At 40.1% G+C, this 19,336-nt stretch overlaps 1 protein-coding gene across 2 annotated transcripts in view, besides 1 other annotated feature; it reads left to right on the top strand.

Annotated features, from left to right (window-relative positions):
- Window positions 1-19,336, top strand: part of FRAS1 (Fraser extracellular matrix complex subunit 1) — a 486,947-nt gene that overhangs the window by 36,167 nt on the left and 431,444 nt on the right. The gene's annotated exons all lie outside the window — the stretch shown is intronic.
- Window positions 11,905-12,519: an enhancer, noted in NCBI's record as "NANOG-H3K27ac-H3K4me1 hESC enhancer chr4:79026548-79027162 (GRCh37/hg19 assembly coordinates)". NCBI's record gives its function as "activates a minimal SCP1, AML or CMV promoter by ChIP-STARR-seq in naive H9 embryonic stem cells {active_cell/tissue: H9 hESC(naive)}" and the evidence as "EXISTENCE:reporter gene assay evidence [ECO:0000049][PMID:30033119]".

A 19,336-nucleotide genomic window follows, 5' to 3' on the forward strand; every position in this document is an offset into this window, starting at 1 on the left:
TAAAAACCTTATTAAGATTTCAGAAGAGCAGAAGATTTAGTTACTAGAATTAAAATTGTTTTTATCTGAAGAAAAATAACAGGTATTCAAAATCTGAACTACCAGATCTGATATATCTGGCCAGATGCTCTCCAACATTTTATTTTAAATTTTTTATAAGGAACCATCTGCTGTAAGTAGAGGTACTTATTAACTTTTCTAGCAGAAAAAGAAATTAACATCTGAAGATACAAAGCCAGTGAATGGTGAAAGAACATAGTTATGAAGACAAAATTAAAAAATCCTCTCACTCCCCTGAGGACCAATTTAAGTGTTCTATTTAGAGAAATTCTGTTTGCAAAGCATATATTTTTGGTTATTTCTGTTAAGGTTATTACTTAGCAGCAATTTCAGAAGTTTGTTTTAATAGATTCTATATTATGTTGTACTTAATGAGAATGAGCTCTGGATCACAACTCATCAGTTTATGAAGCTCACCCCCCTCCCCTTCCCACTTCCACCAAGTCTTGATGGCCATTCTTGGGTATTACAACAGACTACCTGGAAATCACCGTGCAGTTAGCAACAGAACATCAGTGTTGAAAGAGTAGGTAAAATTATTTTTGAATAACCAAGTTTTTTTTTTTTTTTTTTTTTTTTGCAACTGTAAAAATGAAATTAGGAAAGCATGTGGTAGTACATCTCTATATTATCTATATATTTTCAAAGAACTCTAGGCCACACAACATCTCTTGTATTAGGGAAAAAATGAAAGGTGAGGTCAATGGATTTCGGATAAATTTCAAAAAAATGAAAATGTTGGCAAATGATTGAATTTAAATATTTTGATTGTTTGAAGCAGCATAGCTTTCCCCTGAGGCAAACTGAATTAAAGTCACAGGCAACATACTTTTTATTCCCTCTACATTATATTAAATGTATTTTGGATTTTGGATATTTTGGATCTTTTTTTCCCCTCTACATTATATTAAATATATTTTTGGATTTTAGGTGAATTTTAGCTTACCAAGTTCTAAAATTATAATTTTTCTGACTTTTATCTATAATAGAATCTTAATAATATAGAGTGTTCTAATATATACTATGTTGTAGAAACTCCTCTTTTTTGGTGAAAATTTTCTGAGTTGAGAGCTGACCTTTCATTAAGAAAAGATGTGTAATTAATTATTGTATAGTCAATGCTTAACCTATTAAAACAGATTGTTTTCAAGAACTTTAATAGAACCTGTTTATATACTGGCAATTGATTACTTAATTCAGTATAAAGTACCATTAGTAGTACTTTATACCTTAGAGCCATATGATCTGAGTTTAGATCCATGTTCTATTTAGTAGCTGTTGGACCTTGGGCAAGTTAGAATTCCTATGCCTTGATTTCCTCATCTGTAAAATGGGGGTAATAATGGTGCTTAACTCATGGGGGCACTGTGGGGAATTAAGTGAGTTTATATATATTATTTAATCTGTCAAACCAGAAAGAATGAATTTAATACTTCAGTCTCTGTTCTGCAGGAGAAACCTGATATAAGATCATCACACTCTTCCCAGGACTGGCCCCATCACTGGGAAACATTTTTAAAAATCACAATAATAAAAGCAATGTAATATCAGTAAATAAATAAATGCTTAAAACTTGTCCGGTTGACTGGATAAATCTCTATTTTGTATTTAAAAATGTTGAAACTTTTCCAAGGGAAGAAATTCTATGCTCAAGTACAGTAGCTAGATCCTGGTTGGTTAGGTTTCATTCAAAGAGTGAAAGCCTCATTGTAGGAAAAAAAGACTATTTCCAGATGGCCTATTACATTGACAGCTCTAAAAGTTTATTTTTAAGTTGTTTATCTGGAAATTTGAGCATATTTTCCCCACATAGTTCATAAAAACTGGCTGGATCTATTTAATTACTGGTTGGTGAAATCTCACTATTATGTTATCTTGGTTCTGGTCACGGGAGCAGAGGATTATTCTGGGCTTTATTGTGTCCCTCTGAGCCCCAAATTCATGTGCTGAAGTCCTGTATTAGTCCATTTTCATGCTGCTGATAAAGACTTACCCGAGACTGGGAAGAAAAAGAGGTTTTAATGGACATATAATTCCAAGTGGCTGTGGAGGAGTCCTCACAATCATGGCGGAAGCCAAGGAGGAACAAGTCACGTCTTACGTGGATGGCAGCAGGCAAAAAGAGAGTTTGTGCAGGGAAACTCCCGTTTATAAAACCCTCAGATCTTTTGAGACTTATTCACTATCACAAGAACAGCACAGGAAAGACCTGCCCCCATGATTCAGTTATCTCTGCTGAGTCCCTACCACAACACATGGGAATTATGGGAGCTAAAAGATGAGATTTGGGTAGGGCCACAGAGTGAAACCATTATCATTCCACCCCGGCCCCTCCCAAATCTCATGTCTTCACATTTCAAAACCAATCATGCTTTCTCAACAGTCCCCCAGAGTCTTACCTCATTCCAACATTAACCCAAAAGTCCACAGTCCAAAGTTTCATCTGAGACAAGGCAAGTCCCTTCCGCCTATGAGCCTGTAAAATCAAAAGCAAGTTAGTTACTTCCTAGATACAATGGAGTTACAGGCATTGGGTAAATACAGCCATTCCAAATGGGAGAAATTGGCCAAAACAAAAGGGCTGCAGGCCCCATACAATTCTGAAATTCAGCAGGGCAGTCAAATTTTAAAGCTCCAAGATGATCTCCTTTGACTCCATGTCTTGCATCCCGGTCACACTGATGCAAGAGGGGGGTTCCCATGGTCTTGGGAAGCTCCATCCCTGTGGCTTTGCCTCCTGGCTATTTTCATAGGCTGGCATTGAGTGTCTGCAGCTTTTCAGGCAAATGGTGCAAGCTGTTGGTGGATCTACCATTCCGGGGTCTGGAGGATGGTGGCCCTCTTCTCACAGCTCCACTAGAAGGTACCCCAGTAGGGACTCTGTGTGGGAGCTCCCACCCCACATTTCCCTTCCACACTACCCTAGCAGAGGTTCTCCATGAGAGCCCTGCCCCTGCAGCAAACTTCTGCCTGGGAATCCAGGCATTTCCATACATCCTATGAAATCTAGGTGGGGTTCCCAGACCTCAGTTCTTGAGTTCTGTGCACCCGCAGGCTCAAAACCATGTGAAAGCTGCCAAGGCTTGGGCTTGCACCCTCTGAAGCCATGGCCTGAGCTCTACATTGGCCCCTTTCAGCCATGGCTGGAGTAGCTCAGAGGCAGGGCACCAAATCCCTACACTCCACACAGCAAGTGGACCCTGGGCCTGGCCCACGAAACCACTTTTTCCTCCTAGGCCTCTAGGCCTGTGATGGAAGGGGCTGCTGTGAAGACCTCTGATACGCCCTGGAGACATCTTCCCCATTGCCTTGGGGATTAACATTCGGCCCCATGTTACTTATGCAAATTTCTGCAGCTGGCTTGAATTTCTCCTCAGAAAAAGGAGAAATCTTTTCTATCGCATTGTCAGGCTGAAAATTTTCTGAACTTTTATGCTCTGCTTCCTTTATAAAACTGAATGCCTTTAACAGCACCCAACTCACATCTTTAATGCTTTGCTGCTTAGAAATTTCTTCTGCCAGATACCCTAAATCATCTCTCTCAAGTTCAAGGTTTCACAAATCTCTAGGGCAAGGGCAAAATGCTGCCAGTCTCTTTGGTAAAACATAACAAGAGTCACCTTTGCTCCAGTTCCCAACAAGTTTCTCATCTCTATCTGAGACCACCTCAGCCTGGATTTCATTGTCCATATCATTATCAGCATTTTGGTCAAAACCATTTGACAAGTCTCTAGGGAGTTCCAAACTTTCTCACATTTTTTCCTGTGTTCTTCTGAGCCCTCCAAACTGTTCCAACCTCTGCCTGTTACCCAGTTCAAAAGTCTCTTCCACATTTTCAAGTATCTTTTCAGCCCACTCTACTGGTACTCATTTACTGTATTAGTCCATTTTCATGCTGCTAATAAAGACATACCTGAGGCTGGGCAATTCACAAAAGAAAGAGGTTTAAGACATTCACAGTTCCATGTGGCTTGCCTTCCATCTCACAATCATGGTGGAAGGCAAGGATGAGCAAGTCACATCTTACATGGATGGCAGCAGGCAAAAAGAGAGCTTGTGCAGGGAAACTTCCATTTTTAAAACCATCAGATCATATGAGACTTATTCACTATCATAGAACAGCATGGAAAGACCTGCCCCCATCATTCAGTTATCTCCACTGGGTGCCTCCCACAACACATGGGAATTCTGGGAGCTACAAGATGAGATTTGGATGGGGATACAGAACCAAACCATACAAAGTCCTAACCTTAGTACTTCAGAATGTGTCTGCATTTTGAGATAGGGCCTCTAAAGAGATAATTAAGGTAAAATGAGGCCTTATAAGAAGAGGAGATTAAGATATAGCCACACACAGAGGGAAGACCACCTGAAGGCAATGGAAGATGGTCTTCTACAAGCCAAAGAAAGAGGTCCTCAGAAGAAACCATCTTTGCTGATACCTTGGTCATGGACTTCCAGCCTCCAGAACTGTGAGAAAATAAATTTCTGTTTAAGCCACTCAGCCTGTAGTAATTCGTTATGGCAGCCCTGGCAAACAAATACAAGGATCATATAGTGTGGAAAGAGTAGAGCTGGCTTTATGTTAAAAATGCAAAAATAGGAGAAGTTTGTCTTGGGTCCTCTTTTGCCTTTTTCCCCATGTCTCTCCTCCCACTGTTTTCTTGCCACTCTGGGTTCCCACTGTGACCCTCCTCTTTAATGTGGGGGTTAGGATAGATCTTTTCTTTTTTTTTTTTTTTTGGACAGAGTCTCTCTCTCTGTTGCCCAGGCTGGAGTGCAGTAGCATGATCTCAGCTCACTGCAACCTCCACTTCCCAGGTTCCTGCAATTCTCCTGCCTCAGCCTCCCAGTAGCTGGGACTACAGATGCACACCACTACAGCTGGCTAATTTTTGTATTTTTAGTAGAGACGGGGTTTCACCATGTTGGCCAGGCTGGTCTTGAGCTCCTGACCTCAAGTTATCCATCCATCTTGGCCTCCCAAAGTGCTGGGATTACAGGCGTGAACCACCGCTCCTGGCAGGATAGATCTTGATTCTCTTCAAGGCACCAGATCCACCAAGGTGTTGCCTGTTCCTTCTGCACCAGAGAAAGTTAGGATATATATAATATAAATGGCTTTGATGACATGCACTAACGTGTGAGTGATCAATGCCCCTTAATTCCCTAAATAGGAGCTACATGAAGGCATGGACTTTGGCAACCAGTGTGTTCTCAGAGCCCAGAATAAATAGTCAGTCAAGTAATATTAATTACTTCACTTCAGTTAATATTACTGAGTGAATATCCTGTTTTAAAAGCCAGAGCTAAGCCCAAATGAATCTCTTTTGGTAGGAATTGTTGGCAGTATAAGCAAGTAGAGTGAAATGTCTCCAGCACTTGGAAACGTGCTCTCTTTTTATGGGTGGGATGGCAGGGGAGATGTAACAGCAGAACCTCGAGCTCCTGCTCCCAAAATCAGCCTGTTGTACTTTTTACAACTTCCTCTCTGTTTCCAATTCTGCATTAACAGATTCTTAAAATCTCCTCATTGCTTTAGTTTATAAGGGCTCCCCTGGTATTGCAAAGCCTAGGTCTCAGCTTTAGAGAGGAGAGGGGGGGCCATGGGGTGATCGAGGAAGAGCTGGTGGCCTGTGCATCTGGCTGATTAGTAAGTTCAGGGTGACCTCTGTAACTTATTTTTACCTCACACATGTGTGTGCAGTACTTGAAGTGGATGAGAGAACTTTGGGAAGGGGAACAACTAAATTTGGAATGCTTCTATAAGTGGCGCTTCCAGACAGAAATCATGGCTGTGACGGTAGGCATGTCATTAGGGAGTGACAGCAGGCTCTCTGCATGCCTCTTGTCCCTGCTGCATATTCCAGTCCTCCCCTCCACTTGCAGAATCCTTTTTGGTCAACCATTTAAAAGATGGGGGTGAAAGGGGCACGTAAAATAGGAGGTAAATTAAAGATGTGTTTATTGAATATATCTATTGAATAAACTCTTATAAACACTTACTATGTTCCTGGCACTGTTACAGGTGCTTCACACTTATCCATTCATTCATAATCTTACTCATAATCCTGTGAGAAAACCCTGGCCAGAGAGTTTTTTGCACCAGGTCACATACAGTGAGAACATAGTAAAGTGGGTATTCACACCCAGGGAGTGTGGTTCCAGAGTAGTTTGTGGAGGGGAATTCTTGGTTTGGGAGAGGTATGTTGGATATAAATGAGGCTCAATTTGGGTAGGAATTGAGTAAAATAGCTTATCATATTGAATGGACCTCAAGTTCATCCTGTTTTATTACAGTCATCGTTCCTTGTCCACTGTAGTGTAGCATTGTAGTCACCTTAGAGGGGGCTGGATTTCTTGAGGATCTAGAAAAGGAAATTTTTTCTGGAGGCCACAGGGGAAAGAGGCAGCCTGAGAAGGAAACTGGTGTTGAATGGGGAAGACAGGGTTTGTTTAGTGACATATTTAGAAGTTGACTTTCTCTTATGTTCTTTAACAAATGAAGATGATAATATCCATCCTAATTTCCAGGTTGTAGTAAGATAAAATAAAGTAAAAGAAATAGAGCCTAGAACTTAAAATTGGAAAGACTGCAGGCTCAGCAAATACAGTAGCTTTCACTTACTGTTATGTGAAAGGAATCAGACATAGTCACTCTGTTCCAAGTAAAAATGACCTGGTTGACCTCTCCCCTCTGCATCTGCACTTTCCCATTCTTGAGGGTACTCCAGGGATTCTTCAGGGCACAGTTTAAAACCTTAGTTAGAAAACCACTTCTCTGAGTCAACTTCTGTTGTGAATATGAGGAAATTCAGGCCAAGAAACAGTCAGTGGCTTTCCTGCAGTTGCTCCACTATTTTTCCACTTTCTGAGGGCTGTGTCCTCACTGGAGAAACCATCTCTCTCTGGGAAAACACTGAAAAGTTAGAAGTTCATATCAGAGTGAGCTCTTTTGCTTTAATAATACCAATAATTTATTGAATACTTACAAATACTTCCAGGCAGGGACAGCTTCATAAGTGTGTGACCCATGCAGCGGCACAGGCCTTACTCTCAGAAGGGCCCTGCCTTTGTTTTTATTATCTGTCATGATCTTGACATTCTCAGTAGCTTTTGAACAAGGCACTCTGTGCTTTTTTCACTGGGCCCCACAAAATTATGTGGCAGATCCTGGCTCTTGGTGTTTTACATATGTGTGTGTGCGTGTGTGTATTATATATATATAGCTTACAAACATCTTTGAGGTATGGATATTATTATCCCTATTTTACAATCAAGGACTATGAGGCTAAGGCAATTTCCTGGAGAGCACACGTGTTGTGAAGGGGCAGAATGGGAACTTTTGTTGAGAAATCTTGGCCTCAAAGCCCACTGTCTTTCCACCTTATGCTAGTGCAAGTCTAAAGTAAAAGTGTACAGGGGAAGGGAAAAGAAGCTAATGGTAAATCTTTGTTTTGTGGGGTGGGATGGTATGGAAACATAGGGGTTGCTGAAGGGCTTGGCTTCTGGCAACCATTTAACATGTATACACACCCCTTAATTTTTAAAGATGAATAACTCGATTTTTTTTTTAAAGACAGCTTGGCATAAGACTAATTTATAAGGACCTTACTCCACAGATCTGGTGACTGACCCAACAAGTGTGATTCTGTATTATTCATAAAAGGAAAGGCTAAAAAAAAAATGTGAAGGGACAAGTTTTAGTTTAGGCCATGAATTGGTGGCAGTCTTCGGATTAGAACACCTTTGTGCTTGCTTTTGCTTCAACATTTAGCTCATGTTTTTCTTTATTTTTTTCACATATAGGCATGAGACAACATAGTGGTTTTGGAATTGTTTTGATGATAAAAGTTGTAGCAGTCAAAAATGCAACTACTTGGTATTCCTGTATTCACATCAACAAAAACCAAAACTTTGTGTTTGGTTTCCTTCTCCCACCTGCATTTTCCCCACTTTTTCAAAGTGAGAGTGTATTTTTTTTAACATTTTTCATCCAAAGCATTTGGTAGTGAATTTTTTTCATTAGTTACCTATGGCAGAAAATAGGAATTTTCTCTCTAGAGAAAGTTCTCAAGGAACTGAGAATTTCCAGGCCTGATATTCTTGGACAATATTATGGCCCAATTTCTAATAACATATTATATTTTAGAGTGCTTTTAGCCTGTAATGTGCTTTCATATTTGTTGTAGAAATATGTATAAGATGGCAGAATGAGGAGAAGAAATAATTTTGACCTGACATTCTGGCAGAGCATGAAGAGCACTAAATGAGGGTTCTATAACAAGAGCAGAGCAAGTACATCCATCGAGGCAGAGTGTTGACAGTCACGGAGTGCAGGTTTTCATTCCGCTCGTGTCCATTTGTTCACTACATTTATTCAGCAAATAGTCTTTGAAACTCTCAAAATAACAAATAAAAGCCATTCCCCCTTAATACCTCCATATTATACTGAAGAGGCCCTACCAAGATGTACAATTACAGGTTTATATCAATACCATTTTCTCATTTGATTGGTGCACTTCCAAAATGTTCTAACCAATTGTACTTTGATCACGGTTGAATATGGTGATTTTTTTTTAAAAGGAAACAAAAGGACAAGAAAAACTGGAACAAGTTTCCTTGTGTCTAAACTGTTGAACATGTTTTCTTAGAGATTTCTCAGAAAAGGAACCATTTGAAAGGACCACCAGAAGTATTTCTACAGAAGAAAGAGCGAACAGAAAACATCCCCATTTCTAATCCTCACCTAAGTCCTTGAAAACTCAATTAGTGAAGTTCATGCCCAGAATCTGTCAGACAGGTTGTAACCGGAGAGCACTAATGGCTCAATTCTTTAGATATCAAAATGTCACTTCATATTAAATGAATGAACTCTAAGTACCCATATGCTAATTGGATTTATTCTTTACATGTTGGCTGTGATCATTATCACACTGGGTATGAACTTTACTGAATGACTCCACAAATTCCCCTTAATTTTCCAAGTTAAGATGACCCTGGCGACCATCTTTCCCAGGGGTATTTCAACTTTTAACTACATAGTGTATTTAATAGGAACTGAAAATTGAAGAAAACATGAGAAGTTGAAGAATTTGTGCAAGCCAAATATATAGTGAGGGCTACTATAAAGATTTTATTACCTTGAGATTGAAGCTATCACATTACTATGGGTTTCTCTCTGTCAGATATACCTAAATTTGTTGCACTGATCCCTGCTTCAGATCTGAGGGAAGAAGAAAGAAGGTAAAATACCTTCATCTAGAGTAGAGATGAGAGGTTGAACATTGAGCAACTCTCCTATTCTTTAAACCAAATGAAAACACCTCTAGATTTGTATCTTATAGATAACAAAACGCTTTTGGAAATGGCATGGGGTGTATATGGCTTCCCCTTCCACATCTGGAGTATATCAGTATCCACCTCTGCTCATTCTGGAGCATGAAAAGAGGCAGAGGAAACAGCTCATTGCTTTCTAGTAAACTGCTTTCTCTGCCTTTCCCACTATGACACAGAAAGACAAGTAAGAGCATCTTGGCCTCTGGAAGTGGTTTCAGGGGAACTCTGAGGAAATCCTTAGAACCCAGCCTCAACACCATGAAAGGACTGGTATTTAGACTTTTAATATTATCTTCAGTAGCCACTAACTGGTGGATAAACTCATGGTATTGGAAGAAGACATTTCTTAAACAATTTTAATTGTTAAGTAAAGCGTTTGACCTTCTTAGTATTTCCTTTTTCAATTTTAAAACATACCTGGAATCTCAAGAACTGGAAATGGTTTAGTTTTCTCTTGCCCTCTGAGAGGTCACCCTGGACAAGTGTCTTTCTGGATCTTCATGTGTAGCTCACAACTGTTCCTCATAGTTTTCTTCCTCCTCAGAGGTGGGGTGTGGTGGAGGTAGGGATCTGGGGAGAGAATAGAGAGGTGAGCCTAGCAGGGATGTGCATTTATGAAGGGTAATGTATTATAGTTTGCTATGGTTTGAATGCTTGTGTCCCTCCAGAATTCAGATGTTGAAATCCTAACTCCTAAGGTAACGGTTTTAGAAAACAGGGTCTATGGGATGTGATTAGATGACGAGGGAAGAGCCCTCATGATTGGGGTTAGTGCCTATATAAAAGAGAGCTCAGAGACCCAGCCAACCCCTTTCACCATGTGAGGACACAGTGAAAAGTCATTGTCTATGAGAAAGTGGGCCGTCACTAGACACTGAACCAGCTGGCACTTTGATCTGGGACTTCCAGCCTCCAGAACTATGAGAAATAAATTTCTATTGTTTATAAGCTACCCAATGTAAAATATTTTGTTATAGCGGCCTAAATGGACTACGACACAGTTCTTTATCTTAGCTTTGCAAATCAGTAGTGCTGGTGGAACTAGGCTCTATGTCCAGTTGTGCCAGATAGCAGCACCTTCCTGCACTCAGTGTTTATTGGGACCAGTAGAATGCAACATGCACTTGTAAAAAGTAGCCTCCTGCATGCTTACAGCTCACTTAGCTCAGGGCTTAGCTAGTACCTCCTGCATCACTACGAAACTGTGACTGTTTTATTTAATATTTTACTACAACTTCTTCCAGGAATGTTTGTGGCATAACTTTGGCACTCAACACAAGGCAAAAATAAGATGTTTAGAAAATAAATCTGAACAGGAACTTCTTGAGGTACTGCTGCTAATTTCACATGAACCAAGTTACCGCCAGATTCACTACAGTTCCTTTGGCAATTATAATGTTAACATGTTTGCTCCATAATATGCAAACAATTTAAAAATACTTAATATAAATCTATCAAAGGGCCTGAGATAGTAAGAAGTTAGAAAACACAACCTTGGCAGATGGGTGGGGAAGAGGGAGATCTGATGCCACCCACTAAGATTTTTCTTCCTTTGAACTACTGGGGCACATACACTGATCTTATCTGTATACAACTTAGACCATTGTCTTATTCATTTGAATAAATAGGTCTGATCTCACTAGCAAGATTAAATGGTTCACCATATGTACTTTTTCACTTGCTTTCGTGTTGCCTGTTAATTAATTCATTTAAAGGAGAAAAGTAGGTATAAATTTGTTTATTCATTCAGTCAGTTCAGCAGAAATTTATTGCAGAGCTGATATGTTTTCCATGCCAGGTGTTGGTGGTATGGAAATGAGACATGAAATGCTTGTCTTCAAAGAACTTACAGTCATCTTAGAAGAACTTTCAACTGAATGGGGGAGAAGGCAGATACTTAATAGATACTTAAGAGCCCTATTCTAGAATTGTACCCTTATTCTGTACTTCAGGTCCTGCAACACTTTTCTATTAAGATTTTAGAATGTTTTATATTGTTATGATAGTTTTATAATAAAATTGAACTAATCCTGACTCTCAGACAAGGTGTTCAGCCTAACCTTGCTTTGTAAACTTGCTTCCTCCATTGATGTTTTTTTCTGATTTAGATTGATCATATTCATTAGTAGTTTGGTTTCCTTTCCAGGGTTTTCCTTCCTTTAGTTCCAAATTGCTTAGAAAGCCTGCTGTTCTCCCAATTTCTCCTCCTGGCATCAGCTGGCTCCCTGTGGATATGCCCACCAGTCTGAAAGAGTGCTTACCTTTGTTCTGAAGGCAGAATTTAGGCTTGGCTTGGCAGAGTCCTCTGAAGAGTAAATGTTTAATGGGAATACTTGCCTTCCACATCTGCTCTGGACTGTTGATTTTACCTGACATATTTCTATATGGTTATATATTGTCCATCCACAATCCTCATTTTGAAGGAGATTAAGAGGGATGGAGTGGTTGACAGGCATCAGGAAGTTCTAGAAATTTGGCTATTCAAAGCACTCTAGATGTGCTTTTCTGTTTATTTTTTTCTCTCTCAATATAACTAACGGCACAATGAAAGGAGAGATACTCATATCCTAAACCATGAGCTCTTTATTTGCTCCTCTCAAAGGGCCAGGGGAGGATATGAGGAAAGATAACAGGAGGGAGACTCCTTGGTACTTATAAAGACCGATACGAATTCTCTTTTGCATGTGTTTGACAAGAGATGGGGGAGAGGATGTGTGTTCCTCACCATCGTTTTTGAACATATTAGTCTTAACATCACAGGGGAAATGTACAACTGTTGAAAATAGGATAAAATAAGAAATGTGACAATATATAATCTCAGTGAATAAATTGTGAAATGTAAGATGAGAGGAGGAGCCAAGATGGCCGAATAGGAACAGCTCCGGTCTACAGCTCCCAGCGTGAGCGACGCAGAAGACGGATGATTTCTGCATTTCCATCTGAGGTACCGGGTTCATCTCACTAGGGAGTGCCAGACAGTGGGCGCAGGCCAGTGTGTGCGCGCACCGTGCGCGAGCCGAAGCAGGGCAAGGCATTGCCCCACTTGGGAAGCGCAAGGGGTCAGGGAGTTCCCTTTCCGAGTCAAAGAAAGGGGTGACGGATGCACCTGGAAAATCGGGTCACTCCCACCCGAATATTGCGCTTTTCAGACCGGCTTAAGAAACGGCGCACCACGAGACTATATCCCACACCTGGCTCAGAGGGTCCTATGCCCACGGAATCTCGCTGATTGCTAGCACAGCAGTCTGAGATCAAACTGCAAGGCGGCAACTAGGCTGGGGGAGGGGCGCCCGCCATTGCCCAGGCTTGCTTAGGTAAACAAAGCAGCTGGGAAGCTCGAACTGGGTGGAGCCCACCACAGCTCAAGGAGGCCTGCCTGCCTCTGTAGGCTCCACCTCTGGGGGCAGGGCACAGGCAAACAAAAAGACAGCAGTAACCTCTGCAGACTTAAGTGTCCCTGTCTGACAGCTTTGAAGAGAGCAGTGGTTCTCCCAGCACGCAGCTGGAGATCTGAGAACGGGCAGACTGCCTCCTCAAGTGGGTCCCTGACCCCTGACCCCCGAGCAGCCTAACTGGGAGGCACCCCCCAGCAGGGGCACACTGACACCTCACACGGCAGGGTATTCCAACAGACCTGCAGCTGAGGGTCCTGTCTGTTAGAAGGAAAACTAACAACCAGAAAGGACATCTACACCGAAAACCCATCTGTACATCACCATCATCAAAGACCAAAAGTAGATAAAACCACAAAGATGGGGAAAAAACAGAACAGAAAAACTGGAAACTCTAAAACGCAGAGCGCCTCTCCTCCTCCAAAGGAACACAGTTCCTCACCAGCAACAGAACAAAGCTGGATGGAGAATGATTTTGACGAGCTGAGAGAAGAAGGCTTCAGACAATCAAATTACTCTGAGCTACGGGAGGACATTCAAACCAAAGGCAAAGAAGTTGAAAACTTTGAAAAAAATTTAGAAGAATGTATAACTAGAATAACCAATACAGAGAAGTGCTTAAAGGAGCTGATGGAGCTGAAAACCAAGGCTCGAGAACTACGTGAAGAATGCAGAAGCCTCAGGAGCCGATGCGATCAACTGGAAGAAAGGGTATCAGCAATGGAAGATGAAATGAATGAAATGAAGCGAGAAGGGAAGTTTAGAGAAAAAAGAATAAAAAGAAATGAGCAAAGCCTCCAAGAAATATGGGACTATGTGAAAAGACCAAATCTACATCTGATTGGTGTACCTGAAAGTGATGTGGAGAATGGAACCAAGTTGGAAAACACTCTGCAGGATATTATCCAGGAGAACTTCCCCAATCTAGCAAGGCAGGCCAACGTTCAGATTCAGGAAATACAGAGAACGCCACAAAGATACTCCTCGAGAAGAGCAACTCCAAGACACATAATTGTCAGATTCACCAAAGTTGAAATGAAGGAAAAAATGTTAAGGGCAGCCAGAGAGAAAGGTCGGGTTACCCTCAAAGGAAAGCCCATCAGACTAACGGCGGATCTCTCGGCAGAAACCCTACAAGCCAGAAGAGAGTGGGGGCCAATATTCAACATTCTTAAAGAAAAGAATTTTCAACCCAGAATTTCATATCCAGCCAAACTAAGCTTCATAAGTGAAGGAGAAATAAAATACTTTATAGACAAGCAAATGCTGAGAGATTTTGTCACCACCAGGCCTGCCCTAAAAGAGCTCCTGAAGGAAGCGCTAAACATGGAAAGGAACAACCGGTACCAGCCGCTGCAAAATCATGCCAAAATGTAAAGACCATCGAGACTAGGAAGAAACTGCATCAACTAATGAGCAAAATCACCAGCTAACATCATAATGACAGGATCAAATTCACACATAACAATATTAACTTTAAATATAAATGGACTAAATTCTGCAATTAAAAGACACAGACTGGCAAGTTGGATAAAGAGTCAAGACCCATCAGTGTGCTGTATTCAGGAAACCCATCCCACGTGCAGAGACACACATAGGCTCAAAATAAAAGGATGGAGGAAGATCTACCAAGCCAATGGAAAACAAAAAAAGGCAGGGGTTGCAATCCTAGTCTCTGATAAAACAGACTTTAAACCAACAAAGATCAAAAGAGACAAAGAAGGCCATTACATAATGGTAAAGGGATCAATTCAACAAGAGGAGCTAACTATCCTAAATATTTATGCACCCAATACAGGAGCACCCAGATTCATAAAGCAAGTCCTCAGTGACCTACAAAGAGACTTAGACTCCCACACATTAATAATGGGAGACTTTAACACCCCACTGTCAACATTAGACAGATCAACGAGACAGAAAGTCAACAAGGATACCCAGGAATTGAACTCAGCTCTGCACCAAGCAGACCTAATAGACATCTACAGAACTCTCCACCCCAAATCAACAGAATATACATTTTTTTCAGCACCACACCACACCTATTCCAAAATTGACCACATAGTTGGAAGTAAAGCTCTCCTCAGCAAATGTAAAAGAACAGAAATTATAACAAACTATCTCTCAGACCACAGTGCAATCAAACTAGAACTCAGGATTAAGAATCTCACTCAAAGCCGTTCAACTACATGGAAACTGAACAACCTGCTCCTGAATGACTACTGGGTACATAACGAAATGAAGGCAGAAATAAAGATGTTCTTTGAAACCAACGAGAACAAAGACACCACATGCCAGAATCTCTGGGACACATTCAAAGCAGTGTGTAGAGGGAAATTTATAGCACTAAATGCCTACAAGAGAAAGCAGGAAAGATCCAAAATTGACACCCTAACATCACAATTAAAAGAACTAGAAAAGCAAGAGCAAACACATTCAAAAGCTAGCAGAAGGCAAGAAATAACTAAAATCAGAGCAGAACTGAAGGAAATAGAGACACAAAAAACCCTTCAAAAAATCAATGAATCCAGGAGCTGGTTTTTTGAAAGGATCAACAAAATTGATAGACCGCTAGCAAGATGACAAAGAAAAAAAGAGAGAAGAATCAAATAGACACAATAAAAAATGATAAAGGGGATATCACCACCGATCCCACAGAAATACAAACTACCATCAGAGAATACTACAAACACCTCTACGCAAATAAACTAGAAAATCTAGAAGAAATGGATACATTCCTCGACACATACACTCTCCCAAGACTAAACCAGGAAGAAGTTGAATCTCTGAATAGACCAATAACAGGCTCTGAAATTGTGGCAATAATCAATAGTTTACCAACCAAAAAGAGTCCAGGACCAGATGGATTCACAGCCGAATTCTACCAGAGGTACAAGGAGGAACTGGTACCATTCCTTCTGAAACTATTCCAATCAATAGAAAAAGAGGGAATCCTCCCTAACTCATTTTATGAGGCCAGCATCATTCTGATACCAAAGCCGGGCAGAGACACAACCAAAAAAGAGAATTTTAGACCAATATCCTTGATGAACATTGATGCAAAAATCCTCAATAAAATACTGGCAAACCGAATCCAGCAGCACATCAAAAAGCTTATCCACCATGATCAAGTGGGCTTCATCCCTGGGATGCAAGGCTGGTTCAACATACGAAAATCAATAAACGTAATCTAGCATATAAACAGAGCCAAAGACAAAAACCACATGATTATCTCAATAGATGCAGAAAAAGCCTTTGACAAAATTCAACAACCCTTCATGCTAAAAACTCTCAATAAATTAGGTATTGATGGGACGTATTTCAAAATAATAAGAGCTATCTATGACAAACCCACAGGCAATATCATACTGAATGGGCAAAAACTGGAAGCATTCCCTTTGAAAACTGGCACAAGACAGGGATGCCCTCTCTCACCGCTCCTATTCAACATAGTGTTGGAAGTTCTGGCCAGGGCAATCAGGCAGGAGAAGGAAATAAAGGGTATTCAATTAGGAAAAGAGGAAGTCAAATTGTCCCTGTTTGCAGACGACATGATTGTTTATCTAGAAAACCCCATCGTCTCAGCCCAAAATCTCCTTAAGCTGATAAGCAACTTCAGCAAAGTCTCAGGATACAAAATCAATGTACAAAAGTCACAAGCATTCTTATACACCAACAACAGACAAACAGAGAGCCAAATCATGGGTGAACTCCCATTCACAATTGCTTCAAAGAGAATAAAATACCTAGGAATCCAACTTACAAGGGATGTGAAGGACCTCTTCAAGGAGAACTACAAACCACTGCTCAAGGAAATAAAAGAGGACACAAACAAATGGAAGAACATTCCATGCTCATGGGTAGGAAGAATCAATATCGTGAAAATGGCCATACTGCCCAAGGTAATTTACAGATTCAATGCCATCCCCATCAAGCTACCAATGACTTTCTTCACAGAATTGGAAAAAACTACTTTAAAGTTCATATGGAACCAAAAAAGAGCCCGCATCGCCAAGTCAATCCTAAGCCAAAAGAACAAAGCTGGAGGCATCACACTACCTGAGTTCAAACTATAATACAAGGCTACAGTAACCAAAACAGCATGGTACTGGTACCAAAACAGAGATATAGATCAATGGAACAGAACAGAGCCCTCAGAAATAATGCCGCATGTCTACAACTATCTGATCTTTGACAAACCTGAGAAAAACAAGCAATGGGGAAAGGATTCCCTATTTAATAAATGGTGCTGGGAAAACTGGCTAGCCATATGTAGAAAGCTGAAACTGGATCCCTTCCTTACACCTTATACAAAAATCAATTCAAGATGGATTAAAGATTTAAACGTTAGACCTAAAACCATAAAAACCCTAGAAGAAAACCTAGGCATTACCATTCAGGACATAGGCGTGGGCAAGGACTTCATGTCCAAAACACCAAAAGCAATGGCAACAAAAGCCAAAATTGACAAATGGGATCTCATTAAACTAAAGAGCTTCTGCACAGCAAAAGAAACTACCATCAGAGTGAACAGGCAACCTACAACATGGGAGAAAATTTTCGCAACCTACTCATCTGACAAAGGGCTAATATCCAGAATCTACAATGAACTCAAACAAATTTACAAGAAAAAAACAAACAACCCCATCAACAAGTGGGTGAAGGACATGAACAGACACTTCTCAAAAGAAGACATTTATGCAGCCAAAAAACACATGAAGAAATGCTCATCATCACTGGCCATCAGAGAAATGCAAATCAAAACCACTATGAGATATCATCTCACACCAGTTAGAATGGCAATCATTAAAAAGTCAGGAAACAACAGGTGCTGGAGAGGATGTGGAGAAATAGGAACACTTTTACACTGTTGGTGGGACTGTAAACTAGTTCAACCATTGTGGAAGTCAGTGTGGTGATTCCTCAGGGATCTAGAACTAGAAATACCATTTGACCCAGCCATCCCATTACTGGGTATATACCCAAAGGACTATAAATCATGCTGCTATAAAGACACATGCACACGTATGTTTATTGCGGCACTATTCACAATAGCAAAGACTTGGAACCAACCCAAATGTCCAACAATGATAGACTGGATTAAGAAAATGTGGCACATATACACCATGGAATACTATGCAGCCATAAAAAATGATGAGTTCATATCCTTTGTAGGGACATGGATGAAATTGGAAACCATCATTCTCAGTAAACTATCGCAAGAACAAAAAACCAAACACCGCATATTCTCACTCATAGGTGGGAATTGAACAATGAGATCACATGGACACAGGAAGGGGAATATCACACTCTGGGGACTGTGGTGGGGTCGGGGGAGGGGGGAGGGATAGCATTGGGAGATATACCTAATGCTAGATGACACATTAGTGGGTGCAGCGCACCAGCATGGCACATGTATACATATGTAACTAACCTGCACAATGTGCACATGTACCCTAAAACTTAGAGTATAATAAAAAAAAAAAAAAAAAAAAAAGATGAGGTTCTGTCTGTTTTGCAACAATGTAAAAGTCCTGAATAGTTCACTGAGACAGAAAGAAAAAACGTAGAAAATAAAAGGAGAATAAAACACATAGGAGAATAATATGAGAAAAGCAGGCTTACTGCAGCCATATTACACACTTCTGATGACATTGTTTTCAAGAGGTAGGCAAAGATCCCAGATTAGAAAAACTTAAGAATGTATGTTTTAAAAAATCCAGAAAAAAGCAATTTTTGGAATCTTTGACATGCCAGTTTTGTACTGTATTGACAATTTCTTTGATAATCTCCTTCACCTTAGGGAATGTGTTGCCCTTTTTTTCTGTATTTTTCATATCATGAATCTAAATTTTAGATAAGAATTCTCCAAAGGAGAAAGGAAAAATGTCTAATTGCATGTGGTTAGCATATTTTTGTGCTTGATAAAAAGTAATAACATTATTTTACCATAAGGTATAGAAAAGTCATGTCAAAAGCTAGCTGAAAAAAATGAATAAATCAACAAATACATATTGGGAACCTGGCTTTTTAAAAGACTCACCAATCACTTCATACACATATTTACATTTAGACTTAACCTCTGCAATCTGTAGATCTGGAGATTCATGAGTCTGTGATTTATTTTATTATTATTTTTTATCTTGGTAGTTTGTGAGCTTTTCTGTTAGGTGACTTTTTTTTCTGATAACTTTTTTTGAGGTCCCTGGCTTGTGAATGGGCTTTAAAACATTAACGTGCAACACAAACTATTAATGCAAATCATTAATATTTTGAACTCCAGAAATGGCTTGTGAAACACTCTTGAAAGATTAGTACTATGTAAGTAGTACTTGTTCTTGCCAAACGGATTTTGTACATGGCTACTTATTTCTTAGTTAGTGCAGTTATGAAATGGCCAAACCAAAACAATCAAATGTCTATGCTTCATAGATATATTTTTCTTTTAATACATTTATTATATATCTAACAGTGTCTGACAAAGCTATGTCAGCAAGTTAAGGTCGGGCATTTTATTTTTTTAAATTTTTACTTTATTATTTATTTAT

The sequence above is a fragment of the Homo sapiens genome, chromosome 4 (assembly GCF_000001405.40).
Source record: "Homo sapiens chromosome 4, GRCh38.p14 Primary Assembly".
In the NCBI taxonomy this organism is placed as follows: Eukaryota; Metazoa; Chordata; class Mammalia; order Primates; family Hominidae; genus Homo; species Homo sapiens.